This window comes from Homo sapiens, chromosome 15, assembly GCF_000001405.40.
Source record: "Homo sapiens chromosome 15, GRCh38.p14 Primary Assembly".
Classification (NCBI taxonomy): Eukaryota; Metazoa; Chordata; class Mammalia; order Primates; family Hominidae; genus Homo; species Homo sapiens.
In genome coordinates, this window is record NC_000015.10 from 82,306,284 (window position 1) to 82,333,608 (window position 27,325).

General features: G+C 57.6%; 1 pseudogene across 1 annotated transcript in view, besides 4 other annotated features; it reads left to right on the forward strand.

Annotated features, from left to right (window-relative positions):
* Positions 1-27,325, forward strand: part of ADAMTS7P1 (ADAMTS7 pseudogene 1) — a 41,279-nt pseudogene that overhangs the window by 13,001 nt on the left and 953 nt on the right. The window contains exons 8-23 of the transcript NR_045529.3: positions 1,014-1,081; positions 10,087-10,231; positions 10,833-10,925; positions 11,322-11,467; positions 12,855-13,024; positions 13,351-13,486; positions 14,425-14,546; positions 15,801-16,045; positions 16,327-16,468; positions 19,413-19,539; positions 20,007-20,220; positions 20,548-21,953; positions 22,893-23,045; positions 23,480-23,653; positions 23,734-23,880; positions 25,040-25,207. The product of NR_045529.3 is annotated as an ADAMTS7 pseudogene 1 (transcript). The remainder of the gene's footprint in view (positions 1-1,013; positions 1,082-10,086; positions 10,232-10,832; positions 10,926-11,321; positions 11,468-12,854; positions 13,025-13,350; positions 13,487-14,424; positions 14,547-15,800; positions 16,046-16,326; positions 16,469-19,412; positions 19,540-20,006; positions 20,221-20,547; positions 21,954-22,892; positions 23,046-23,479; positions 23,654-23,733; positions 23,881-25,039; positions 25,208-27,325) is intronic.
* Positions 12,513-13,013: an enhancer, noted in NCBI's record as "H3K4me1 hESC enhancer chr15:82611132-82611632 (GRCh37/hg19 assembly coordinates)". NCBI's record gives its function as "activates a minimal SCP1, AML or CMV promoter by ChIP-STARR-seq in primed H9 embryonic stem cells {active_cell/tissue: H9 hESC(primed)}" and the evidence as "EXISTENCE:reporter gene assay evidence [ECO:0000049][PMID:30033119]".
* Positions 13,014-13,514: an enhancer, noted in NCBI's record as "H3K4me1 hESC enhancer chr15:82611633-82612133 (GRCh37/hg19 assembly coordinates)". NCBI's record gives its function as "activates a minimal SCP1, AML or CMV promoter by ChIP-STARR-seq in primed H9 embryonic stem cells {active_cell/tissue: H9 hESC(primed)}" and the evidence as "EXISTENCE:reporter gene assay evidence [ECO:0000049][PMID:30033119]".
* Positions 23,143-23,643: an enhancer, noted in NCBI's record as "H3K4me1 hESC enhancer chr15:82621782-82622282 (GRCh37/hg19 assembly coordinates)". NCBI's record gives its function as "activates a minimal SCP1, AML or CMV promoter by ChIP-STARR-seq in primed H9 embryonic stem cells {active_cell/tissue: H9 hESC(primed)}" and the evidence as "EXISTENCE:reporter gene assay evidence [ECO:0000049][PMID:30033119]".
* Positions 23,644-24,144: an enhancer, noted in NCBI's record as "H3K4me1 hESC enhancer chr15:82622283-82622783 (GRCh37/hg19 assembly coordinates)". NCBI's record gives its function as "activates a minimal SCP1, AML or CMV promoter by ChIP-STARR-seq in primed H9 embryonic stem cells {active_cell/tissue: H9 hESC(primed)}" and the evidence as "EXISTENCE:reporter gene assay evidence [ECO:0000049][PMID:30033119]".

The window sequence follows — 27,325 nt, forward strand, 5'->3', positions numbered from 1 at the left end:
CTGCCCTCTCTGGGCCTCTGTGTGCTTCCCATAGATTGAGGGGTTTGGATTCAGTGATGTCCAAGGCTCCCTCTATCTGACACCGCTGCCTAAGGCTCCTGTCTTCACAGGCCTCCAGCCACCTGTGCCCTGGCTGTTGAGCTGGCGAATATGGCAGCATCTTAGATTGTCTAGAAAGCCATCAAAGGCAGGCTCCCAGAGGGTTCTGTGGGTCAAAGCTGTTGGGGTCATCCATTCAGATGTCCGGGTTTTGTGGGTGATGGCCGTGCCTGCAGGACCTTGAAGCTGCTTATGGCTGCAGAAAGAACAGCCTGCCGCAGTACTACAATTTCCTGGCTGTGTTACCCTGGCTAGTTCCTTAGACTCTCTGAGCCTTCCTGAGGGTAATAATGAGAACTGAGTGAGACTGTGTTTCTGAAAGTGCTTAGCATGGCCCCGGCACATAGTAGATGCTCAGGAAATAATTTTTCTCATGTCCTTCCCAAGGATGGTCTCTGGAGACCTTTCTGTGATACAGCAGCTCAGATGCCTTAACTCAAGTGCACAGCCTTGGGACAAGGACCTGTGAGTGGGAACCGCTGTCAGACTGTTCTTGAGGCCAGTGAGCTTGCAGGGGCCATCACGGGCCCACATCTGTGCCACCTGATTTGCCATTGCTGGCCAGTCCCCGGGCTGGAGCAGGGCTGCTCTGGGTCCCTGGCCCTCATTTCAGGCTCAGGCCGGAGTAGGAGCCCTTGGGATACTAGCTGTCATACCCTCATTTTACATTAAAGAAACTGAGGCTCAGCGAGAGAATGTGACTTTCTCAAGGCTGTGGCCATTGAGTGGCACAACCAGCCCTGGGAACTAGGACTATGCACCTTGTGGTTCTCCAGGGTAGGGCAGGCTAGAAGCCTCCCGCCGGCTTACCCGCCCTTGGGGCCTGTGCTCTCACACAGTTTTGGCATTCAGCATGATGGAAGCAGCAATGACTGTGAACCCATTGGAAACAGCCTTTCATCATGTTTCCACAGCTCCCGTACGACGCCGCTCCCCTCACCTGGTCCTGCTGCAGCTGCCAGTACATCACCAGGTTCCTTGAGTAAGTCCCTCCCCCAGCCCTGAGCCCCTACGCCTTGATCCATGAGATCAAGGTCTAATGGGGGAGATGCAGACAGTCACACTGCAGGGTCGGGGTAGAGGGAAGCAGAGGGGCAAGGTCTCGATCCATGAGGTCAAGGTCTACTAGGAAAGATGCAGACAGTCATACTGCAGGGCCGTGGTAGAGGGAAGCAGAAGGGCAAGGTCTTGATCTGTGAGGTCAAGGTCTAATGGGGGAGATGCAGACAGTCATACTGCAGGGCCAGGGTAGAAGGAAGCAGAGGGGCATCTGGCAAAAATGTGCTGGCATCCCAAATGTCCTCCTGGAAGGGACACTTGAGCTTGAACTTGGAGAAGGAGTGAGAATTCACACATGTGCAGAAGGGAGAAGAATGGCGTTCCTGGTAGAGGAAGCCTGAGAAAGGCCTGCAGCGGTAAAGGAGTGGGAGAGCTTTCAGGGAACGGCAGAACCGTAAAGGAGTGGGAGAGCTTTCAGGGAACGGCAGAACCCTGAGCGAGGCTATGGGAGCCAAGGCTGCGTAGGAAATAAGGCTGGAGGAGGCGAGGGCCAGCCACAGTGTCCAGTGAGAGGCAGGAAGAAGGGGCCACTAAGGGAACTGAAATACAAAGCTTTCTCCTTTTTTTCATGTTCTCTTCACTTGTTCTGATGTTCTTGTTGTTGTTGTTTGTTTGTTTTTTGAGACAGAGTCTCACTCTATTGCCCAGGCTGGAGTGCCATGGTGCAATCTCGGCTCACTGCAACCTCTGCCTCCCAGGTTCAAGCGATTCTCCTGCCTCAGACTCCTGAGTAGCTGGAACTACAGGCATGTGCCACAATGCCTGGTTAATTTTTATATTTTTAGTAGAGACGGGGTTTTGTCATGTTGGCCAGACTGGTCTTGAACTCCTGACCTCAGGTGATCTGCCCACCTCGGCCTCCCAGAGTGCTGGAATTACAGGCGTGAGCCACCATGCCCAGCCTGTTCTGCTGGTTTTGTTTTGCTTTGTTTTGCTTTTTAATTTGCTATTTAATGTTGTTCTAAGTAAGAAAAAGTTTTACATTTAAATTATTAGCATAAATTTTACCATTCATCTTTATTTTGTGCAGTGCCAGTTTTAAATGCAAATGTAAGAGTACAGTTGACCCAGAACAACTTGGGGGTCAGGGGTGCTGACCTCTGTGCAACTGAAAATCCATGTATAACTTTGACTCGCCCAAAACTACTAATAGCCTACTGTTGACTGGAAGCCTTACTGATAACATAAACAGTTAATACATATTTTGTATGTTATATATAATATATACTATATTCTTACAATAAAGTAAGCTAGAGAAAAGCAAATGTTATTGAAATCATAAGGAAGAGGAAATACGTTCACTGTTAATTAAGTGGAAGTGGATCATCATAAAGATCTCCATCCTCATCCTCTTCATGTTGAGTACGCTGAGGAGGGAGGAGAAAGGCAGGGGGTGATCTTCTTGTCTTGGGGTGGCAGAGGTGGAAAAAAATCCACACATAAGTGGACCCCGTTGTTCAAAAGTCAGCTGTATTAACTTGTATGCAGGGTAACCAAAATTACACAATTCGTCTTTTGTAGCTGATATTTACTAGATGATGAGATAGAATAAAACTATCTCAATTGGTTTGATCTCACTCCTTGATATGTGCACATTCTACCCAGGCTCTCTACCTTTTCTTACCGATGAAGATGGAAAGACTGAAAGGAGAAGGAACTATGGGGTTCTCTTTCCTCCCATGTCTTCATTTTCTGCATAGCAGTTGGCTAATACAGGGGTGTTAACATGGGAGAGAAAGGATGATGGGGCTTCTTGGTCATTGTCTTCTTTCTGCATTTGAAGTAATGGTTCAAATGGAAAATGCAGCCTCTGGGCCTGTCAGTGCCCCCTGTCCCTTACTCAGTTGTTGACATAACATGTTTATCTTCTAATTGCTTTGAGTCTCACCGAACTCCTACACATTATAGATTCTGACATGGACCAAAGTAAATGTTAGATGCAAGTGGGGCAGCAAGGAATGGTGGACACAGACACTGCCTGTGTCTCCTCTGTTCAGACACAGGCTTCTTTGTCCCATCAGACCTTGCTTACTGGCCAGGCGCAGTGGCTCACGCCTGTAATCCCAGCACTTTGTGAGGCCGAGGTGGGTGGATCACCTGAGGTCAGGAGTTTTAGACCAGCCTGGCCAACATGGTGAAACCCCCTCTCTACTAAAAATATAAAAAATTAGCTGGGTGTGGTGGCGGATGCCTGTAATCCCAGCTACTCAGGAGCCTGAGGCAGGAGAATTGCTTGAACCCGGGAGGTGGAGGCTGCAGTGAGCCAAGATTGAGCTGCTGCACTCCAGCCTGGGCAACAAGAGCAAAAAAACTCTGTCTCAAAAAAAAAAAAAAAGAATAGAAGATGGCAACAGCAGAGCATTGCATACCTGCCCCACTTCTCCCCACCCTCCATTGCTTTTTGCTAGGCAAACACCTTCAAACTTAACACTTTTAGCTCTTTCTTGTGTTTACTTTCCTATTTCCGAAAAGCACTGCTAGACTCTCATTTATTGATTTTCCAGTTTAGATATTATCTAGAAGGTTGGGATTTAGCACCCTTGCATCACTTCCTATACGTACATTTGTCCCCTCACCTTTCATCCCAATTTAGTGTTAACATACTTGGATTAAGTCCATATTCTGCATTTTCATTATTATGGCTGTAAATCTTGATGGCTGAACTAAGTGTTGTAATAAGATGGCATTTCTTTTTTTTAATTTATTTTTTATTTTGAGAGTGTCTCATTCTGTTGCCCTGGCTGGAGTACAGTGGTGCAATCTCGGCTCATACTGCAGCCTCCACCTCCCAGGTTCAAGCTATTCTCATGCCTCAGCCTCCCAAGTAGCTGGGATTACAGGCACCTGCCACCACGCCCAGCATATGTTTGTATTTTTAGTAGAGGCGGGATTTCTGTGTTGGCCAGGTTGGTCTCAAACTCCTGACCTCAAGTGATTCGCCACCTTAGCCTCCCAAAGTGCTAGGATTACAGGCGTGAGCCACTGTGCCCCATCTAGACGGCATTTCTTTGTAAGAACAAGCTTTTATTTGCTTGGTTTTCATTGCTTCTCCAGGCCTTCCAGATCCTTTAACAGTTTTATAAGATGTCTCTTAATCCAGTTTTCCCAAAGGTAATCTCTACCAGATAATCCAGCCGTTCCCTTCTTTCCTGGACCCTCCTCCCAACTTCCCTCTGTCCTCCAGTTTAGACTGGATGCTTTCTATGCCTGCCCCAAAATATTCATGGAGGGTCCTGTTTCTCGGATCCCATGCTACTTTTTTTTATGGGCAGGTACCTTTTTTTTTTTAATTTGTTTTGGTGGAGCACATCCTCAAGTAGCTTTCTGAGAAAGAGCGCATGGAGGTAAATGGTTTGCCTGTCTCAAAGTGTCTTTATTCTTCCCTCACATCTGATTGATATTTTGATTTGATATCAACTTCTGGGTTGGAAGTGACTCTTCCTCAGAATGTTGAAGGCATTTTTCTGTTGTCTTCTAGTTTCCAACATTGCTCTGAAGAGGTCCCATACCATTTGGATTTGAATGTGACCTTTTAAAAAATCTGGAAGCTTTTAGGACTCTTTCTCTTTCTCTCTCTCTTTTTGGTGATTTTAAATTTTAAATATATGCCTTGGTCTATTTTAATTTGAGGGAGCACTCATTGGACTGTTTTAATCTAGAAACTTGTGCCCTTCAGTGATTGAACTGTTGGTGTATTATTGATTTGATAACTTTCTTACATTTTCTCTTTCTGGAACCCTTAATATTCAGCTATTCTCTCACTTTCTTATTTTTAAACATTTTACACTTCTTCATCTCTTTCTCTTTTCTTTTCTATCCTCCCTCTCTCCCTTCTCTCTCTTTCACTCCCTTCCTCTCTCCCTCCCTCCCTCCCTCCTTCCCTCCTCCCTCCCTCCCTCCCTCCCTCCCTCCCTTCCTTCCTTCCTTCCGTCCTTCCTTCCCTCCTTCCTTCCTTCCTTCCTTCCTTTTGAGTCTCGCTTTGTTGCCCAGGCTGGAGTGCAGTGCCACAATCATGGCTCACTGCAGCCTCGAGCTCCCAGGCACAAATGATCCTCCTGCCTCAGCATCCCAAGTAGCTGGGACTACAGGTGTATGCCACCACACTCAGCTAATTTTTTAATTTTTCTGTAGAGATGGGGTTTTGCCATGCTGCTTAGGCTGGACTTGAACTCCTGGAATCCTCTCTCAGTCTCCCATAGTTCTGGGATTACAAGCGTTAGCCACCGTGCCTAGCCATCTCTATTTTCTAGGAGGTATCTGACTCTACTTTACAATCCCTCTATTAAATTTTTGATTTTTTTCATTGTACTTTTAATTTCTTGAACTTTCTCACTCACTAAATACACATTGCGTGTCTCATATCTGAAATACTTGGGACCAGAAGTGTTTTAGATTTTGGATTTTTTTTTTTTATTATTTTGGAGTATTTCCATTATACTTACCAGTTCAGAATCCCCAGTCTGAAAGTCCAAAATCTGAAGTGCTCCAAAGAGAATTTCCTCTGAGCATCATGTTAGTGCCCAAAAGTTTTGGATTTTGGAGCATTTGGATTTTGGGATTGGAGATACTCAACCTGTGCACCTTTTGATCCTATTCCTGTTTTGTGGGTACAGTGTGTTCTCTTATCTCTGTGAGGTTATTACTTACACGGATTTGACTTTTTTCTTCTGTTCCCTGAAATGTTTTTATTTCCTTTGGGTTATTTAAAAAAATATATTTGTTTCATGTTAACAGTTTTCTTGGCCAGGCATGGTGGCTCACGCCTGTAATCCCAGCACTTTGGGAGGCCGAGGCAGGCAGATCTCTTGAGGTCAGGAGTTCGAGACCAGCCTGACCAACATGGTGAAATCCTGTCTCTACTAAAAAAAATACAAAAAATTAGCTGGGCATGGTGGCTCATGCCTGTAATTGCAGCTACTCAGGAGGCTGAGGCAGGAGAATCGCTTGAACCCGGGAGGGAAAGGCTGCAGTGAACCAAGATTCTGCCACTGTACTCCAGCCTGGGCAAAAGAGAGAGACTCTGTCTCAAAGAAAAGTTTTCTTAAAATGCATTGGCTGTATTTCATATATAGCAAGGAGATGCAGAGACACTAATTGGGCAGTTTGTGGACTTGGGCAGGACTTTTCCAAGTCACTGCTGAAGGACTGGTTCAGATGGGGCTATTTTGGGGAGATCCTCTAATGTCACTATCTGAGGTCATTTTTCTGAGTGATTCAGTTTCCTGAGAGGAATCCTCTCGACTTTTCCTGGGAGAGTGTATGTCTGGCTGCAGCATTCCAGCATCCAAGTGGGAAAGGGGCTTGGCGTGTTTCTTACCCTTCAATGTGTAGACTTTTGCTTGTCCCCTTTTCTCTGTAGGTCCTTCTGCCTTGGGCCTTCATGTGTGTCCACCGTTCCTGGGCCAGAGCCTCCTGGTTCACCCTCTCCAGGAAGTGATCCCTGGCCCTCTGCTGGGTGGCAGGTGGCCGTCACTTGGCTACTCAGGGTTGGGGAGGGGATCTAGGGTCTGATCGGTTCTTACAGACTTTCAGCCCTACTGTCTTCAGCCCTCCTGGCCGTAAGGCCCTGAGGAGTCCCTGCAAACTCAGTTCCTGAGCCTTTTCGGGCTTCTGCTTCTGGGTGGTTCCCCCCTGCAGGAATCTGACTCTCAGCTTTCATCACTCTAGCAAGTCAGCTACTGCCTGGCCATCTGCTTCCCAGCTTCCAGAATCTTGTTGACATCCTTCATTACTCATCATCACCCCTTATGGATTTATGCCTTGTTTATTTCCTCTACTGTCATTATAGTGGAGTCTTGGAAGGAAGCAGCGATAAATCTGTCTGCTCAATGTGCCATGTTTTTCTAGAAGTCCACTCACTGTGGGGCTTAAGCAGGGATGTGACCAGGTCCATTAGGGATGTAAGAGCAAGGATACTGGCCTCCAGTGGAAGAGGGATTACTGGGGTGGGGGGTGGGATTGGAAGCAGAGAAGAGTTTTGTTTGGTGGTTAAGAACCTAGACTGGCCTGTCCAAGAGGGTTGACCTGAAGAACTCTAAGAACCTTTCTGGGCTGACAGGTGCTTTATGGGACCTTGGGGAGAGGTCACAGCATTTCGCCAGTGTCAACTTGGACCTGGGTGGGGAGGAGGGGAGGCCCTGGTCCCTGGTTTCCTCAAAGCCAGCATTTCTACAGGGAGAGAGGCAGGCTAGGTAACATGTGGGGTCCTTCACTTCACCCCATGGACACCCCATGCAGTGACTCCATGACCAGATCCCAGGGGTGGCCAGGGGAGCGGGCCCACATGTCTCTCCTGTCAGTGGTGGGCAGCTCTTTGCAGTCTTGAGGTGAGAGTGAAGCTTCTGACTGGAGTCACCTACTGTCTGCTTTGACCTCTTGTGGGACTGCCCAGCCCTGCTATAGTTAGCTTAAGGAGGGGCGTGGAGGGGAAGGGCTGATGGTTTGGGGGATCCGGGTGTGTCGGCAGTGCAGAGAACCTGGCAGTCAGCCTGCCAGAGGAAGGAAGGGCTGGCTGACGGCCACCTTGAGTTTCTGACTCCCAAGACAGCACCTGGGCCTGATTCTGGCAGTGGATTCTGTGAGGGTCACCTTATGCTCCCAACTTCTCCCAACATCCAGGGTGGGCTGAGAGGTTGTTGCGGCTTCAGCTGCCCAGCAGCAGGCCTGCAGGAGCCACATGTGCAGCGAGTCAGCACTGGGGCAGCCAGGAAACAAAAGGGCTCGGCTGCAGCCCAGGGACTGTTGGTGCCGGGATGAGGCGCATTGGACCCCTCAGCCCCTGGGTCAGAGGACCCCCTGGCTGGGATGGGTGAGCCCCCAGTCTACCTCCTCGAGCCACGGAATGATGGCGGGAAGGAGGGAGCCCAGGGCCAGCTGACCCCACCACCCCCGGCTGACACTCTGCCCCGGGTGCAGGCCCAGGGAGGCTCAGGGAGCCCCAAGCCGCAGGAGAACTTGGGACACTCCTTTCTCCCTGCCAGGCCTCGCTGCCATGGTTTTGAACTTGTATGTGGGGTGAAGTATTTGAGGCCAGGCTCGCAGTTGAATGGGAGGAGCCCTGCACTGGGGGTAGCCCAGTGAGTAGACACAGCCTGGTGCAGGCAGCCTGGGCCTGGCTCCAGGTCCTGGCCATCACGTCCCTCTTGCGCGACCCGGGACAAGTGACGTATGGGCCCTGAGTGCATGAGGGAAGATGATGGTAGAGTCTGCCCAGGATGTTGTGAGGAGCAAATGAGAGGGTATGCCCCCAGCACCCTGGACCAGTCTGGCACGTGGTCATCTTGGGCACTAGGACTGCATCCAGCAGCTGCTCATCTGCCAACGCCCATGTTAGAGGATCTGTTTCCAGCCATGATGGGCAGTCTGAGTGATTCCAGGAGGATTCCAGGGTTCTCAGTAGAAGTCTGGTCACCTTGGCTTTCTTCTCTGCAGCTCTGGGCAGAGTCAGGGGCCTGTCACTGGCCAGGGGACTTAGGAGACCACACAGACCACCCACCCCACCCTGGGTCTCCCAGCTGCCAGGCCCCCTCCTCTGAAATCTGGGCTTCGGGATTCCATGGTCTGATCCACCCTCCTAGCCTCTCTCCACACCTGTCTTCAGCACTCTTGGCCCTGTTTCCTGACCCTTTCGTGTTCTCCCAGCCTCTCCACATCTCGGAGTGTCTCTTTCTCTCCCTGCTGGACTCCAGGATCCATCACCTTTGCCCTTCTTCCCTGTGCGACCCCCTGCCTGTCCCAATCAGGACTGTATGCTCATCCCAGCCATCTGGCCTGGCACCACCTACCCTGAGTCCACCCAGACTGGAGAACTGGAGGGATTTTGCCTCCCCATCTCCCCTGCCTGGCTAGAGGCCCCAGGTCCCATGGGTCCTGCCTCCTTCCATGCTTCTGCCCAAGTCGTGGCTGCCTGGGTCATCCCCAGCCCCGCATGTCTGCATGGCTCAATTCTCCCCAGCCACTGCTGCCCCGCAGAGGGCCCCAAACCTTCCTCCAGGACAGCAATGAGCTGTGGGTGGGCTGGTCAGCATGCCAGGGCACTCCTGCTGCTAAGCCGTTGTAGTGGCCGCCTAAGGTCCAGCAGGTACAGCAGGCTGGTCACTGGTCCCAGAAGCAGTAGCATGCCTGAGGGCTGTACAGAGTGAGGCAGGGGCAGAAGCAGGTGCCAGCTGGGCCTGGGCCGCCCTCCCCAGGGCCCCGGACTCCACGCTCGCTGCCTCGTGGTGGTCTGGGCAGCCTTGTCTTCGCCACACCGCAGCAGCAGGAGCGTGTGGTGGACACAGATGGCACCTGCTCGTGTCTGCCAGTTTCCCCGCCACCGCTGCCAGGGAATGCCAGCTGGAGGAAGGCAGGAGTAGATAGGGTATGACAGAGGCTGGAGGCCAGCCCTGTTGGGGAGTGGGGGAAACAGGGGACAGGCACGGATGCCCTAGGCTCTCTCCCAGGGGAGGGGCTGCTTTCCAGACCTTGCCCTTCCACAGATGACCCGAGGTCTCTGCCTGGGTGGGGCCGTCGGAGGCTCTGTTGTGTCAACTGTGATGTGATATTCTCCGGATCCTTGTCGGGCCTGGCTCCAGGGTCTGGGCTCAGACACGGAGGCTGCAGGGTCGGAGAGCAGGGCCACATGAAGGTTTGGCGGTCCAGGAGGCCTTCTGAGGGAAGGGCCCTGGCAGCGTGTGCAGAGGCCTGGGATTGGGGTTGGGGTTGTTTAGCCAGCTGGAGTGCCCAGGAGGTGAGATGAGATTGGCTGGGAGGGCCTGTGCTACTGGCTGCAGGTGGAGGATCGGCTGAGCCGAGCGGGGAGGCTGGAGTTTCCTACAGTTGTAGGGCTCTGTGCCCCCTCCCACCTCTCCTCCTCTCCTGGCCCCACCGAGGCTTCTCCGATGGGTCTCACAGGCTGCGCCCCCCTCCATCCTCCCGTCCCATCTCTAGCCATGGGTGGAGCCTGTGCCTGGATGACCCGCCTGCCAAGGACATCATTGACTTCCCATCAGTGCTGCCTGGGGTCCTCTATGATGTGAGCCACCAGTGCCACCTCCAGTATGGGGCCTACTCTGCCTTCTGCGAGGACATGGATGTGAGTGGGGCCGGTGTGGGTGTGGGGGTGTGGGGACCCGACAGGAGGGCTTAGGGGACAGCTTTCACCAGCCTGTGGATGCCAGCTTGGGAGCAACCTCGCCTGGGCTGGGCTACGCCCCTGAGTGACACTGTGAGACGTCAAGTGGCCTGTGGGAGAGGCCAGGGATGGGCGGCCACAGACCCAGCTCTGAATTCTGGGTCAACCATGGACCGACTGTGACCCCTCGGGCAAGTCCCTTCGCCTCTCTGGAGCTGGCTCATAAGAGGGAAAAGGAACCCCTGTGGGGAGGGTCTATTTATCCTGGCGAAGATCGCCTGAAGTGATCTTCTAACAGGAGTGTTTCCAGAGGAGGCGCTGGGCCGGGAGAGGTGTGGACAGCTGAGGACCACTCTGAGCAGTGCAGCCCCGGGCGCCCCACACCACCACGTGGTCTGGGGAGGAAGGTGGGAGCAGACACACAAGAAGGGACCTCTGGGGGTCTGTGGGCCCCTGCCATGTGGAGGGGTGCCCAGGGACCCTTGGGGACAGGGAGGGGGGCAGGGTGGGTGGCGGCACTGGGGAGGGGGTGAGGCTATGGCCCATGCCCTCCTCCTCGCAGAATGTCTGCCACACACTCTGGTGCTCTGTGGGGACCACCTGTCACTCCAAGCTGGATGCAGCCGTGGACGGCATCCGGTGTGGGGAGAATAAGGTAGGCGATGTTCCCAGTCCCGGCAGTGGATGTGTGAGAGGCCAGACCTCCTGCTGTGACCGGGCCCTGGAGTCAGCCCCGGCTCACAGAGAGCCCCATGCCCTCTGCAGCCCAAGCCCCCGTCTGCAAAGTGGAGGCATTGGGGCCAGGGCTTGATTCCATGATTCTCCAGGGTGTCTTCAGCTGAGTCAGCACGTGGGCTGTTTTACTCCCTGCTCAGCGCCTCCATGTGGCCTGGGTCACAGATGATTGTGATGATTGCGAGGGGGCCTCTCTCACCTTCCATCCTTCCCCTCTGTGCCTTTTGCAGCATTCTCACACACCTTGTTCTCACTAGGGTGAGGATGACTGATAGGCTTGGGGGTGGGGTGGCTCTACCTCCGTCTGTCTCGGTAGTGGTGTCTCAATGGGGAGTGCATACCTGTGGGCTTCCAGCCCGAGGCCATGGATGGTGGCTGGTCTGGCTGGAGCGCCTGGTCCATCTGCTCACGGAGCTGTGGCGTGGGCATACAGAGAGCCAAGCAGCAGTGCATGCAGCCTATGTGAGTGTGGGGCCCAGGGTGCCCTGGGCAATGGGACAGAGGGACCCAGGCAGTCAGCCGATTGCAGGAGCTTGGCTCTGTGCCAGCCCCTGGCTCTTAGAAGTGTCCTCATAATGGTCAGTCTGAGTGTCCAGGCCACCTTGAGTCACTTTCAAGGAGTGTTCTGAGGGCTGACAGGGTCCCCACTGCTGACCCCTTTGCAGAAAGGGGGACACTGAGGCCCAGAGACTGGAGAGACTCAGCAGAGGCCACGTGGCAAAGCAGCTGCTGGCTGGAAGGAGGCAGGAGAGGGCAGTGGGGAAGAGCATGGGCCCTGGACCTTAGATGGCTCAGGGTTCGAATCCCCTCTTCACCCCTTCTCTGGGCCTCCGTTTCCCCACCTGTATAATAGCAGTGCCCATCCAGTAAAGTTGTAGTCAGGGGCAAATGCAGTTTATGCAGGCCAGCCCCTCAGCCCTGCAGCTCATCTGTAGTGGGCACTCAGCAGGAGGGGCTTGGTGGCCTCAGAGGCACAACAAGGGCCTGAGATGAGATGGAGCAGCTGGGAGGATGGGACAGCACTGAAGGGGTGGCCTGAGGTGAGTGACTTCACCTCTCTGGATCTCTGTTTCCCCATCTAAATGGGGGGGCGCAGGGGGTGTGAAGATCTGGTGAGAAGCAGAGGCCAGTGGTACTGTAGACCGAGGCACTACCCGGCTGATCTTCACTTCAGGAGGCCACCCGGGGCAGGCATGGGGTTCACAGTCGGCCCCACCCAGGGCCCTGCGCTTACCCAAGACTGGCCTGTGCCCCTCCCTGCCTCCTGGCCTCCAGGTCTGAGCTGAGTGGAGGCCAGCGACCCTGGCCTAAATGTGGAGGATTTCAGGAGCTGTGCTCCATCATACCTTTCAGCTGGCTGGGGCCCTGGGCGCTTCCTTTAGACCCAGGCTGGGGGTACTGCCACCAGGAGGAAGGCTGAGGACTCAAGGGCTCGTTAGGATGCTGGTGTCATGGGCTGGAGACTCGGATTAGTCCCTCCAGCCAGTGCCAGTCATGCCTGCAGCTTGTCCCAGCTTCTCAACAGCCCTCTGCAGGGGCAGCCCCAACCCCACTTTATACATGAGGAAACTGAGGCCCAGAGGGTGGCCGAAGACTTGTCCACGATCACACAGCAGGTTGGGGGCAGAGCTCAGGCTTCCTGCTGCCACCTCCCCACAGGTCCCTACAGACAGGGAGGGTGTGTCTGGGCCACAGGGTGGGCAACCCAAGGGAGGGAAGCAGCGTGCACAAAGCTGGGCAGCAGGGATCTTGGGGTGTGGGTGCAGGAGGAAGCTGCTTGCTCTGGGCTGTGGCCATGCAGTAGCACTCACTGGGCCCTCACTGGGGTCCACCCCGGTTCTCCCCACAGGCCCAGATACAAAGGCAGATACTGTGTGGGTAAGCGGAAGCGCTTCCGCCTCTGCAACCTGCAGGCCTGCCCCGCTGGCCGCCCCTCCTTCCGCCACGTCCAGTGCAGCCACTTTGACGCTATGCTCTACGAGGGCCAGCTGCACACATGGGTGCCCATGGTCAATGACGGTGAGTGCTGCCTCCCATGGAAACATTGAGACTCAGAGGGCGGCGAGCGGGGTGTGGGTCCAAGGTTACCCTGTGATGCAAGCAGGAGACCCAGTCTCCACCCCAAGCCTGGGCCACTCCCACTGTCCCCTGGGGCTGCTGCTCGCCCCTAGCTCCCCAGTCTGCAGCCTTGCAGATAGCTACCAGCCCAGCCGGAGCCTCCAGCATGTTTGTGCTGCTTGGGAGCCTCCAGCCTGCCATGGATGTGTGTCACGGAGGGGTCTTCCTGGTGGCCTCCATACTCCCGCTCCAGCTGTTGCTGATGACTCTTCTACTTGGGCCCCCAGTGAACCCCTGTGAGCTGCACTGCCGGCCCGCGAATGAGTACTTTGCCAAGAAGCTGCGGGACGCCGTGGTTGATGGCACCCCCTGCTACCAGGTCCGAGCCAGCCGGGACCTCTGCATCAATGGCATCTGTAAGGTGTGCCTGGTTAGGAAGAGGCTCTCCCAGCACTGCCTGCCCCCAGCCCCACTGGCGGGCCCCAGGTTCTCTCCTGGTCCTCCTCGGGCCACCCTCCCCATGCTCTACCATTGGGCTTCCCAGCCCCTACCCTCTATGACCTCTAAGGCAAAGCCCCTACCACGCCTCCTGGCACTGGGGACCCCCCCCAGTCAGGCCTCGCCCCACTGCGTCTCCTTGGATGCCTGCACCAGCACCGCCCCAGCCAGGAAACCGGAGCCCAGGCAGTGGCTTGACCTCTTGCTGGCTGGCTGACCCCAGGCAGTGGCTTGACCTCTTGCTGGCTGGCTGACCCCAGGCAGTGGTTTGCTCCCTGATAGAGGGGTTAAATGAGGTGGCACAGGTGACATGAAGGGCTCTGAGCCCCGAAGAGTAGGCCTCAGTGTTTGGTAACAATTTATATTCTTATTTTTAATAACAACGATGGCCTCTCCTCTTTACCCATGTCTCCAGCCACCTACTTGTCCTTGCTTCTTGCCCTCTAAACCACTGGGGTATCAAGGCCTGGGCTCCGAGGAGGACCAGGAGGGAGGTGCCAACCCCCAGTGCCTTTGACGTTGAAATTCCCTGCACGCGCTGCTCAGGAGCCCGTGGCGTGTCAGATCCCCTGCCTGCCCGCAGGCTTTGCAGAACTCTTCCCTTCTCTTGTCTCTTGTGATGCTCATGACATGCCTTTAAGGGAGGGGTGGGTCTCCCTGTCTCACATCTGAGGAAACTGAGGCTCAGGGAGGTAGAGAAGTTCACCTGGGTCAGAGGCACAGCTGGGGTGGGGCAGGGCCAGAGAGAGGCCTCCCGACCCCCACTCCCAGCTTTCTTCTCCTGACCCTGGCTGGCCCCCGGGGCTGGGGCCACAGAGGGCTGGCCGCCAGCACCAGGGGCCTCCCCTCCTCGTGTGTTGCAGAACGTGGGGCTGTGACTTTGAGATTGACTCTGGCACTATGGAGGACCGCTGTGGCGTGTGCCACGGCAACGGCTCCACCTGCCACACCGTGAGTGGGACCTTCGAGGAGGCCGAGGGCCTGGGTATGGGGTGGGACCACTGTGGGGAGGGGTGTGCTCTTCACCTGGTGGCCCCTTCCCCATCTCCCCCGGGCCCCTGTCCTTGGCCTCGTGGCCCCCACCCAGCCTAGAGATGGCTAAGCAGGGAGGGCTTGCTGGGGTGGATTCTTGCAGGAGTCAGGGGACCCCTGGCCCACACGCAGAGACCTGTCCCCATGGGGAGTCTTCCTGTCCCAGAGACCCCAGGCAGGGCCACCCCGACTTGTGTGTGGCCCCTGGGCCTTTCAAAGAATGGTCGTCTCCTCCTGAATCTTCTGAGACCCCCAGCTCCATGCCCTCACCTCTGGTCTGTTTTGCACATGTTGCTGAAGTACTGACTGTGTGCTAGGTGATGAGGACATGCAGGTGAAGCGCTCAGTCCTGAAGGGGGACAGAACCTTCTGGTGTGATCAGTGCAGTGGAGGGAGGCCCAGAGGGCTGTGGGAGCACTGAGGAAGAAGGTCCTGGCCTGGGGAAGTCAGGGAAGGTTTCCTGCAGGAGGCGGAAGTTGAGCTGAATCATAAAACTCAGAAGAGATGGAAGGGGCATTCCAAATGGAGGAAAGAGCTTGCGCCAGAGCCCTGGAGGCAAGAAGGGAAGGCAGGGCCAGCTATGGGGCCTTGAGTGCCAGGCTGAGAAGCTTAGATTTCATCCCAGAGATGCAGTGCAGTGTGGTGGATAAAGCACTGGCCCTGGAGGCTGCTTATATTGCAGCAGGACGCTCATGCACGTTACTCTCCCTGTCTGCCTCACTTTGCTCATCTGTAAAATGGGGTTAACAATAGTACCATGCTATAGGGCCATTACCCATGAGCTTACACATGTGAAGTGCTGAGAGTAGTGCCCGGCACGTGATGGGTGTGATGGAAGTGAATGAATAAAAGCAGGCTGCGTGGGGATGAGGAGGGTGTCCCAGGAGAAAGGCCTGGGCACTTTGGTTTTTTTTAGAAAGAGAATGCCAGCCGGCCCTTAGAGTAGGGGATGGATCCAGCCTTATGATGAGACCAGTTTAGGTCCCCAAGAGAGGAGTGACGGGGCATGGCCACGGGGTCAGGATTTGTGGCACCTCCGCAAGGTTTTGGTGACCCATGACAGATCCGAGCAATTTGGGGAGCTCAGACTTTAAAGCTAATGGCGAAATCTTTGGCATCAGCAGGCGGAGGCAAGTGGGGAGAGATGTGAGGGGAGCAGGTGGGGATAAGCAAGCTTCTCACCCCAGGCACAACCCTTGCCTGACAGGGTATGTGGACGTGGGGCTGATCCCAGCCAGCACACGTGAGGTCCGCATCCAGGAGGTGGCTGAGGCTGCCAACTTCCTGGCACTGCAGAGCGAGGACCCGGAGAAGTACTTCCTCAATGGTGGCTGGACCATCCAGTAGAACGGGGACTACCAGGTGGCAGGGACCACCGTCACATACGCACGCAGGGGCAACTGGGAGAACCTCACGTCCCCGGGTCCCACCAAGGAGCCTGTCTGGATCCAGGTGCCTGCCTCCCGAGGCCCAGGCGTGGGGAGCAGAGGTGGAGTCCCCAGGCCCAGCACCTCCCATGGTAGGTCTCGTCCTGGAGGAGTGAGCCCTGGGTTAGTCACAGAGCCTGGCTCTGAGCCAGACCCTCCTGCTGAGGCCTCTACCTCGGTTTCCCCATCTTTAAGATGGCCCAACTGTGTAGCTGCAGTTCACAGAGGTGGCTGGGGTCAGCTCCTTTAAGACTGGGTGGATGGAGAAGACACCTCGTGCTCACGGGCCCCCGCCTGCCCACCCAGCTGCTGTTCCAGGAGAGCAACCCTGGGGTGCACTACGAGTACACCATCCACAGGGAGGCAGGTGGCCATGGCGAGGTCCCGCCGCCCGAGTTCTCCTGGCACTGTGGGCCCTGGACCAAGTGTACAGTCACCTGTGGCAGAGGTGAGAAGTGGGGCAGGCACAGCCCCGCCAGCAGGGGCTTCATCTCTGGACAGGGACACCGGCTTCAGCTCCCAGCTCACTGCTGGGCCACCATGGGTTTAGAAGTTTGCTTCTCTGAGCCTCAGTTCCCCATCTGTGAGATGAGGCTAGCAACCGCCCCATGTCCCAGGCCCACTGGGAGGGTAAATGGATGAGGCAGGTGGGTGCTGGCTCGCGGCGTGTGCTCAGTGTGCTGCAGCTCTTGGCGTTCTCCCTCCAGTGGACACAGCTCCCCCTTGATTTTGTCCTTGCTCAGCTCCGGCAGGTTTTGTGCCTGCATTTCTGCTGCGTCCCGGAGACCAGCCCAGGCCCCTCACCACATGACTTATTTCCCTGAACTATTTATGAAAAGTAGGGCAATTTCATTAACTCCGACTCTTCCTCCCCATATTTCCCTCAGTCTCCCCCCATGCTCCTCAGTCTCCCCTCTCTGTCTCTTTGTCTCCTCCCCACTGCTCCTCAGTCTCCCCTCTGCCCCTCCGTCTCCTCCCATACTCCTCAGTCTCCCCCCATGCCTCTCAGTCTCCCCCCATACCCCTCGGTCTGCCCCCATACCCCTCGGTCTCCCCCCAATATCCCTCAGTTTCCCTCCGGCCCTCCAGTACCCCCGCCACGCCCCTCAGTCTTCCTCCCCCGGCTCGGTCTCCCCCGCCATTCCTTGGTCTCCCCCCAGCCCCCCAGTCCCCCCCGATGCCCCTTGGTCTTCCTCCCCCTGCTCGGTCTGCCCTGCTGTTCCTCGATCTCCCCACACCTCAGTCTCCCCCTTTGTCTCTTAGTCCTCCCCTTTCCCCCTCAGTCTTCCCATCGTTGACACTCAGTATCCTCAGGGTCTCAGAATCGGGAATCTGATATACAGACGTTTGAGCATTCCTTCAAATGCTATTATGATGACAAAGTGAAAATGGAGAACTGGGCAGTTACCTTCCAAAGCTAGGAAACCCATTTTATCTAATACAGCTGTCTTTATTTTATTTTATTTTGTTTTATTTTATTTTATTTGAGATGGAGTCTCACTCTGTCGCCCAGGCTGGAGTGCAGTGGCGCGATCTTGGCTCACTGCAGCCTCCGCCTCCCAGGTTCCAGCAATTCTCCTTCCTCAGCCTCCCGAGTAGCTGGGATTTACAGGCACGCACCACCATGCCTGGCTAATTTTTTATTAGTGGTAGAGATGGGGTTTCACCATGTTGGCCAGGCTGGTCTTGAACTGCTGACCTCAGGTGATTCGCCCGCCTTGGCCTCCCATAGTGCTGGGATTACAGGCGTGAGCCACTGTGCCTGGCCTAATACAGGTGTCTTTAATTGGACAAACGTGAAAACCAACAAATACATTTGCAGCACTAGACATTTGGGGAATTGCCTTTCAGCAAATTGGCTGCTTCGCAGGTGGACCACTTAGGAGCGTCTGCAGAGGCAAGTGCCCTGTGGTGGCTGGAAGAGACAGGGGTTCTTTGTCTCAGGCAGGAAGTCCCAGGTGCACAGTCCAAGCTGGCGGGACCTGGAGCTGACTGGCCCTCAGCCACACCATCCTTGCCATAGCAGCCTCCCCTCCACTCCTGCTTGCCACAGATGGTGTCCTCCCTTCCAGGGCTCTTGCAGTGTTCTAGGCAAGAAGGAGAGAGGAAAGGGCTGACTCCCAGCGAGGGACTTGTGCCTTTTTCTCCTGAGCCAGGACTGTGTCCCAGACCCCCCTAGTTGCAAGGGAGCGGCAGTGGGGTGTGTTTTCAGCAGGTCCCACTGCTGCCTTGAACAAAATCAGACTCTGTTGGTGAGGAAAGAGGGGGATGGATGTGGGACTGGCAGCTCAGGGGAGGGACAACTTACTCTCGGGACCACGGGGCAGGGGGTGGAGCAGAGAAGGCAGAGCCACCAGCAGACGGGGTCCTGCAGCTGGGCCTCAACAGGCAGTATGGAAGTGAGTGTCCAAGGTGAGGAACGTGGCTGTGCAAAGTCCCCAGGTTGGACAGTGGCAGAGAATGTAAAGGACTGGAGCAGTGCCAAGGCTGGTGTGGGGATGGAGAGCAGGGGCTGTCCATTGATGCCCCATTTCTTGTCCAGACATTCTCTGATCCATTGGGAAGGGTGTGGATGGTGGGACCGTGTGTCAGTGGTCCCTGGACACACTGGGCCCTGAAGGCTCAGGCAGCGGCTCCTCTAGCCATGAGCTCTTCAGTGAGGCTGACTTCATCCTGCGCCACCTGGCCCCATGCCCTTCACCCGCCTCATCACCCAAGCCAATCCCAGGAAGGAGCAGAGGGAGCTGGTCTTTCATTCTCTTCCCAAGGCTGAAGCCCCAGACCCCGGTCACCCCTCACTCCAGCCTGGGCCACCCTGGACACTTATGGTCCTCCTCTTTGGGTCCCTGGATGTGGAAATAGGCCTCAGGTCACATTCAGTTTCCCTGAGGGGAAGGTGGCAGGAGCCACGGCTGGGTTTGCATGCTAGCAGCAGCTGGCATGGATCGAGCTCCTAGGATGTGCCGGGCACGGGCCGAGCCTGCACATGCAAGAACACATGCAGTCCTCCCTCCAGGACATGGAGGAGGCAGGATTGTTGCTCCCACTTCACAGAGGAGGACGCTGAGGTTCAGAGAGGCCAAATGAGCTGCCCAGGCATCTCAGCTAGGATGCAGAGGGTCTGGGCACCCAACCCACTAAACCTCCACACTCTGCCACCCCTCCAGGGGCAGTCAGAGGGGAAGCTACATAGGAGAGGGGGTGGGTGAGAACCAGGAGGACAGCAAGGAGGCGACGGTGGAGGTCTGCCTTCATCCTGACATGGGCAGTAAGGCATCCTGACATGGGCAGTAAGGCGCTGTTCTGGGAGGGTTCTGGCAGAGAGGGTGTCTTTGGGTCTTGGGCGGTGGGCACCTGGGTGCCAGTCCCAGGCTGAACGCCATGGCCCCTAGGTGTGCAGAGGCAGAGTGTGTACTGCTCGGAGCGGCAGGCAGGGCCCGTGGACGAGGAGCACTGTGACCCCCTGGGCCGGCCCGATGACTGCCAGAGGAAGTGCAGCCAGCAGCCCTGCCCTGCCAGGTGAGCCCGCCCCCATCCCCTACCAACTCCCCACCCCCAGGCATCCTGGGTCTGCCACAGGCCCCTACATCTGGGTCCCCAGAGGCCCCAGGGAGGAGCAGAGGGAGCTGGGCTTTCATTCTCTTCCCAAGGCTGAAGCCCCAACCCCCGGTCACCTCTCACCCCAGCCTGGGCCAGCCTGGACACCTATGGTCCTCCTCTTTGGGTCCCTGGATGTGGAAATAGGCCTCAGGTCATGCTCAGTTTCCCTGAGGGGAAGGTGGCAGGAGTGGAGGGGCTGTGCCTTGTCACCAGACTTTGAGGGCAGGACACTTACCTGAGCTTGGAGCTCTGGAGAATCATCCACTGGCTTCTGGCACTGCCCAAACCCCGAGGGCCTGGAAACCCAGCCTGGCCCTCCCTGCTGGTGAGCCTGTCAATGCCACCTGTCTGATGCCATACTGATGACACCTGTGTGCCCTCAGCAGGTGGTGGGCAGGTGAGTGGCAGCTGTGCTCCAGCTCCTGCGGGCCTGGGGGCCTCTCCTGCCAGGCTGTGCTCTGCATCCGCAGCGTGGGGCTGGATGAGCAGAGCGCCCTGAAGCCACCCGCCTGTGAACACCTTCCCCGGCCCCCTACTGAAACCCCTTGCAACCACCATGTGCCCTGTCCGGCCACGTAGGCTGTGGGGAACTGGTCTCAGGTGAGTGTGGGATGGGAAGGTGCCCGCCTCCAGCCCCACCCTTGGTCTTCAGCTACAGGGAGGCAGACAGCCTTCCTGGAGACCTTGTGGGTGGGAGGGAACCTGGGCATTCCAGGGTCCAGCCCCTGACTCTAAAGCCTCAGGGATCAGGAAGCCCCTGGCAAGCATGGCCACAGTCATGGCCTTGAGCTGGGAAGGGCCAGAGAGGGCTGGCTGGGGTCTCTGCCACTCTGACATCAGGCAGTGGACAGGTTACCCAGCCTTGCCCCAGCGTCCCCTGGCAGCCTGCCTCCCAGGCTAAGCCCCTCACCCTGGCTTCCCCTGCAGTGCTCAGTGACATATGAGGAAGGGACTCAGCACCGAAATGTCCTCTGCATCAGTGACACCGGTGTCCCCTGTGACGAGGCCCAGCAGCCAGCCAGCGAAGTCACCTGCTCTCTGCCACCCTGTTGGTGGCCCCTGGACACACTGGGCCCTGAAGGCTCAGGCAGCGGCTCCTCCAGCCACGAGCTCTTCAACGAGGCTGACTTCATCCCGCGCCACCTGGCCCCACGCCCTTCACCCGCCTCATCACCCAAGCCAGGCACCATGGGCAACGCCATTGAGGAGGAGGCTCCAAAGCTGGACCTGCCGGGGCCCGTGTTTGTGGACGACTTCTACTACGACTACAATTTCATCAGCTTCCACGAGGATCTGTCCTTACGGGCCCTCTGAGGAGCCCGATCTAGACCTGGCGGGGACAGGGGATCGGACGCCCCCACCACACAGCCGTCCTGCTGCGCCCTCCACGGGTAGCCCTGTGCCTGCCACAGAGCCTCCTGCAGCCAAGGAGGAAGGGGCAACGGGACCTTGGTCCCCGAGCCCTTGGCCTAGCCAGGCTGGCCGCTCCCCACCCCCACCCTCAGAGCAGACCCCTGGGAACCCTTTGATCAATTTCCTGCCTGAGGAAGACACCCCCATAGGGGCCCCAGATCTTGGGCTCCCCAGCCTGCCCTGGCCCAGGGTTTCCACTGATGGCCTGCAGACGCCTGCCGCCCCTGAGAGCCAAAATGATTTCCCAGTTGGCAAGGACAGCCAGAGCCAGCTGCCCTCTCCATGGCAGGACAGGACCAACGAGGTTTTCAAATGATGAGGGACCCAAGGGCTGCGGAGCACCCCACCTGCCCCCGAGACCCAGCCCCACGCTGCCCACTTTGTACCCGGTCAGCAGCACCCACTCCTCTCCTAGTCCTGACGTGGCGGAGCTGTGGACAGGAGGGACAGTAGCCTGGGAGTCAGCTCTGGAGGGTGGCCTGGGGCCTGTGGATAGTGAACTGTGGCCCACTGTTAGGGTGGCTTCTCTCCCTCCTCCTCCCATAGCCCCTTTGCCAGAGATGAAGGGCAAGGACAGTCCCCTGCAGCCGGGGACTCCCACCTTCCCAACCCCAGGACCAGGCTTATGGGACCTTCAGACTGTGGCAGTGTGGGGGACCTTCCTCCCCACAACCCTGACTGACCTCGGGCACACGCCTGAGCCTGCCCTGAACCCAGGACCCAAGGGTCAGCCTGAGTCCCTCAGCCCTGAGGTGCCCCTGAGCTCTAGGCTGCTGTCCATGCCAGCTTGGGACAGCCCCGCCAACAGCCACAGAGCCCCTGAGACCCAGCCACTGCCTCCCAGCCTGGCTGAAGCGGGGCCCCCCACGGACCCGTTGGTTGTCAGGAACGCCGGCTGACAAGTGGGAAACTGGAGCGAGGCAAGTGGTGTGGGCTGGGTGGGCAGGGAGTTTGCGCAGGACCTTGGTGACTATTTCCTCATCTGAAAATGAGCAGAGTGGGACGCAGGCGCCGTCTGTCTCGCCTTCCTTGGGGCGGGGGTTCCCAGGATTAGGGGAATGAGGGGACCTGGGGCCCATTCCTGGGCAGCACAGGGGGCCTCAGGGAAGGCAGGGGCAGGCACACTCTGGCAGCACAGCATGCCCCAGGATGGAGCTGGCTCAGACAGCTGTGCAGTGGGGAGGGTCCCTGTGTGGCCACCAGGCCCAGTCCTGCCCAGCAGGCAGCAGCTTCCCTGAGGCTCTGTCTGGCTCCTCCAGGCTGGACTCAGCCCACTGCTACCTGGCTCTGCCCTCAGTGGCTCCACCCTCCTTTGGCAGTGACCTGCAGACGTCTGAGCTGCATGAAAGAAGCTGGCTAGTGCCCCCTCCCTGGGTCCCCAGATGGTCACTGCAGGAGAAGCAAGCTTCTGTTCAGATTCCTAATTTTGGGGTGGGAAGGGGCAGGCTGAGGCCCACAGGGCTTGTTTTGCGCGGGGATAGGCAGCGATTTGGCTGCTGGTACCAGGACCCAGCCTTCCTTCCCTGGTGCCTCTGGGAAGCGACGAGGCTGGTCAGGATAGCTGGTCAGGGGTGCCCACAGGGTCTCCTCCCCCGAACCTCTGCACCAATGACACTGGCACACAGGCCCTTTGTCCCATGTGAGCAGGGACGGCTGGTTGCTGGGGGGATTTGACTTTTCATTCTCATGGTCTTCCTGGGAGGTGGGTGAAGGAGCCTATTTTGCAAATAAGGAAACTGAGGCCCAGAAGAGGGCCCCTGTCTTGCTGAGGTCTTGCTAGCCTAGGTGGGTAGTTTCCTGGCTGTGGAGGCCTGGCGAGGATGGGCTCTGCCTGGCTTTCACGGGTCTGTGCCCCGCAGTGCTCCACCACCTGTGGCCTGGGTGCCCTCTGGAGGCCGGTGTGCTGTAGCTCCAGCCGGGATGAGGACTGCGACCCCGCTGGCCGGCCCCAGCCTGCCCGCCGCTGCCACCTGTGGCCCTGTGCCACCTGGCACTCAGGCAACTGGAGTAAGGTGCATGAGGATGGAGCCAGGACAGGCATCCCCAGGGCATGGGATGGAGCCCTGGTTCCCCACGGCCTGTGTTCCGAGAGCGGCAGGGAAGGGGAGGGCTCCAGGCTGCATGTCTATGTGCCTGATCGCACCGGATTCCGAATCTCTTGGGAGTCATCTCATCTTTGTCTGGCTTGGCCTGTCTCCTTTCCTCTGTATCTTTGACCCCATCTGGACTTGTTCCTCCCTTTCTCTGTCTGTCCCAGCCCATGGCAGCCCCTGGCCATGCCACCTTTTGCCTGGGGCCTGCCAGCCTTGGCCTCTCGCTGGGGCTCTTCAGGGATTTGCCCCCGGCTGGGGCGTGGGTCTGATGCCTTTCCTGCCACACGCCTCACGGGGTCACGCCTGTGGGCCTGCACGTGGGGATGTGTCCACACAAGTCTCTCGGTCCCCAGTGCTCCCACAGCTGTGGCAGAGGTTCCTCAGTGTGGGACATGCAGCATGTGGACACATGGGACCTCTGGCCACTGTGGCCCTTCCATTGTCAGCCTGGACCTGCCAAGCTGCCTGTGCACTGGCCCTGCGGGGCCCAGCCCTGCCTCAGCTGGTACATGTCTTCCTGGAGGGAGGTGAGGCCTGGGCGTTGAGTTGGGGGGAGGGGACACCCTCAGACCCTGGCTGTGCCCTGACTCCTTCCCTGCCCACCCAGTGCTCCAAGGCCTGTGGCGGTGGTGAGCAGCAGCGTCTGGTGACCTGCCCAGAGCCAGACCTCTGCGAGGAGGCACTGAGACCCAACACCACCCGGCCCTGCAACACCCACCCCTGCACACAGTGGGTGGTGGGGCCCTGGGGCCAGGTGAGCCAGGCTGCGGGGGGGAGCAGGGAGCAAGTGCTTGGTAGCGCCTGGTCAGTCCTGGGTTGGGTGAAGGAGCTGTGGAGTGTGTGCTGTGAGCCAGGCTGTCTGTGGCCCCTGCACATGCAGCAGTCACTGGACAAAGCCCTGCCATGCTGGTGCTCACACCTGACAGGGAGAAACAGACAAGGAAAGGGCATGTGTGCTGTGATGTCAGGGAAGGCCTTCCGAGGAGGGGTCTGGGGTTGAGACCCGAGGGAGGAGTCAGTGATGCCAAGGACAGGGATCGAGGGGGGACAGCAGGTGTGAAGTCTGAGGCAGGAATGATGAGCTTGGGGAGATCAGGGAGCCCAGCAAAGGCCAGCGGCAGAAGGGGGCAGAAGAGGGGCCTCGTATGGGCAGGACACCTTCTGCTGGGCCTGTTTGGAACTGAGGGGTTCAGAAATCTCAGATTTGGGCCCTGAGCTGGGTCCGGGAGTCAGCTGGGCCAGCGTTTGAGTCTGTCCGACTGGCTGCTGAGTGACTCTGGGCAGGTTGCTTTGCTTTGCTGGGTCAGTTTTCTCATCTGTAAAATTGGGACGCTTTGGGAGAGGAGGGTCAGGAGGATTAAATGGAGGAACGCAACAAAGCACAGGGCCGGGCACAGCACGACACTGGCACAGACTCAGCACATGTTTAGGGCTTTCAGACCTGCACCTGTTAACAACAAAGCCTGGCGGGCTGGGCCCCGGCTGTGAAATTGTCTCCACCCCTCCTGCCCATGGGCTGCGGCAGGTCCTCTGCCCTGTCCCTCGGGCACAGCGGTGTCTCGCCCACATCTCTGCCCACTGCTGCATCAGGGCTCCATCCCGGGGCCCCTGCCCAGGCCTCTCAGTCATGTCCCGTGTGAGGGGCTCACTGCCCTGCCGCCCCAAGGGCTGTCCCATGGTTCTCATGCCCCTTCCCTCTGCAGCAGCCGATCCCACAAGTGAGAGTGGGGTTCCAGCACCAAGTGGGCTCTAGGAATGGGAACAGGTCCTCCAGGAGGCACTGAGAGGGCGGCTGGGAGCAAGGGCAGGCCAGTCAGGCACAGGGCGCAGGGACGGCTTCCCAGAGGAGGTGTCCCTGCCCCCACTGCTAGGGCTGGCCCTGGAGACACTCATTCCTCCCCTGCTCCCCCCAGTGCTCAGGCCCCTGTGGTGGTGGCATCCAGTGGTCACACACTGGTCAAGTGTGTCAACACCCAGACGGGGCTACCCGAGGAAGACAGTGACCAGTGTGGCCACGAGGCCTGGCCTTGTGAGCTCCCGGCTGTGTGGCACCGAGGATTGTGAGCCCGTCGAGCCTCCCCGTGAGTCCCCCGACCCCAAGCTCTCTGCTGAAGTGAGGTGGGGCGGGAAGGGTGATGGGGAAATTGGGTCTTCAAACCATTGCACCCACGGCACCGGCTGGCTCCATCTGTAGTCTGGGCTCAGGAGCCACTGAAAATCCTGATGCCACAGGATCCCATGCTGGAGGCTTGGCTGTGCTGGGAGTCAGTCAAGAGAAGTCCCAGCTACACAACATCCTGCAGGCAGCTTTCTGACCTCCAGTGAGTAGAGAGAGTGGCCTTGGCCCCTGATTTGCTGTGTGAACCTGGGTAAGCTCTTTCCCCTCTGGGTCTCAGTCTTCCCATAGTGAGACCAGGGATGTCCCTGAAGCTGTGTGAAAACTGGGCCTGGGTGAGTCCCTGTCCCCTCCCCAGCCCTAGCCTGTCCATTCCCTGGCCAGAGGACTGCCTAGAGTGAGCAATGGAACCACAGGAAGGGCCTCCCTTCCAGGGTCCTGCTAATCCCAGTGGTGGGGGGTTTCCTGGCCAGCTGGGTCCTGGTGGAAGGGCCTGAGCTAGAGGTGGTTCTGGATATCCCAACCCCCCACCTCCAACACACACACACACACACTCACACACTTCCTGCAGCCCCAGCTGCTCTCAGCAGTGCTGAGGGCAGGAAATGGGGTGGCCCTGGAGTGTCACCTGGGCTCCCCTCACCAGCTGTGTGGCCTTGGGCTCCATTTCCCTCTCAGGGCCTTCATGTGCTGAATAAAGGGGCTGCCAAGCCCCATCCTTGCATAAGTGAGGTCTGGGCATGAAGGGCACAGCACTGCGTGGGGATCCAGGTGGTGCTCAGGGAAGGCGGCTTTTTCCCCTCCCGCAAAGCCACTGTCATCCCCCATTGCAAGGTCAGGGAGAGGGCCTGGGGCTGACCCTGCCAGTCTAAGGAATCCAGGAGCTGTGGCCTGAAGAGCTGCGGCCCCTGTGCTATTGGCTGTCTGCCCCCTGACCCTAGGACAGAGTCCTCAGCCACGGCCCTCAAACTGGCATTCGGGGCCCCCTGCAGTCTCCCCAGTCTGCCTTCTCCCCTTATCCAATGCGCCTTCTCTACCTGCGCTGGCTCCTGGGCAGCCCTCATTTGGGCTCAGAGTGGCCCCTGCCATGCCTCGCTGCCATGCCTTGCTACCCTGCCTCTGGCAGGGGTGGCCTTCCTGCCACAAACCCCATTACCTCAAGGCCAAGTGGCAGTGCCCCCACCCTGTCCTGCCTGCCCTCAGCACGCACCCAGCCAGCATCTCAGAGCACTCCTGTGTGCTGCCTGAGCTGGGTGCTGGCATCACATCTCTCGCCTTCATGGCTAGAGCTGGCCACAGGGAGTGGGGTGGTTATGATCCCAGGGGATGAGGACCAGATGGAGCAGAGAACAGGAACTGAGGCCCCTGGGGGCCTAGAACCAAGGACAGATGGCCCAGGAGGCTCTGGGCTTGTAAGGTCTCCCAGGGGCGGGTATGAGTGGGCTGCAGGGAGTGGGCTATGGGGGCTGGTTAGGTGGCTGAACTAGAAGCTGTCCTAAGTGAGGAGTTTTCTGCCACCAGTGAACAGTGGAGGGGCAGCTGGGAAGGTGTCTTGGACTTTGAGACCTGGAATTCCCAGGATGTTTTGCTGGTCTGTGGGACAGTTGGCGGGACGGGGGAAAGCCAGGAAACTCCAGAGTGTGCGGTCGCTGCAGTGACACAGCATGGCCACATCCATTTGCTGTGGAGGTGGGGTTGACAGAGGAGGGAACCAAGGCCCAAGAGGTGAAGCAGCTTGTCTGAGGTCACCCCGGGCGACCAGGATGCAGGCCTGCAGATGTGCACTTTGGAGCTCTGCCTGGAGCTGGGGTGGAGGAGCCTGCCTGCTGCCTCGTGCCCTCTGCCGGGCCTGAGGGATGTCCCTGGCACAGGGCTGGCTGCTGTCCTCCTGCTCTTCCTCCCCAGGGAGGTCTGCTGGAGTAAGCAGGGCCCAGGCGGCAGGTGGGGGCTGTCAGCAGTGGCAGTGGCATCAGGAGCAAGGCCAGGAGGCTGGAAACAAGCCACTTCCCAAAATAGCTCTGATAACCACGGGGCAGGAGGGCCCAGCCAAGCCTCAGCCCTGACAACCACAGCCTGCAGCCGG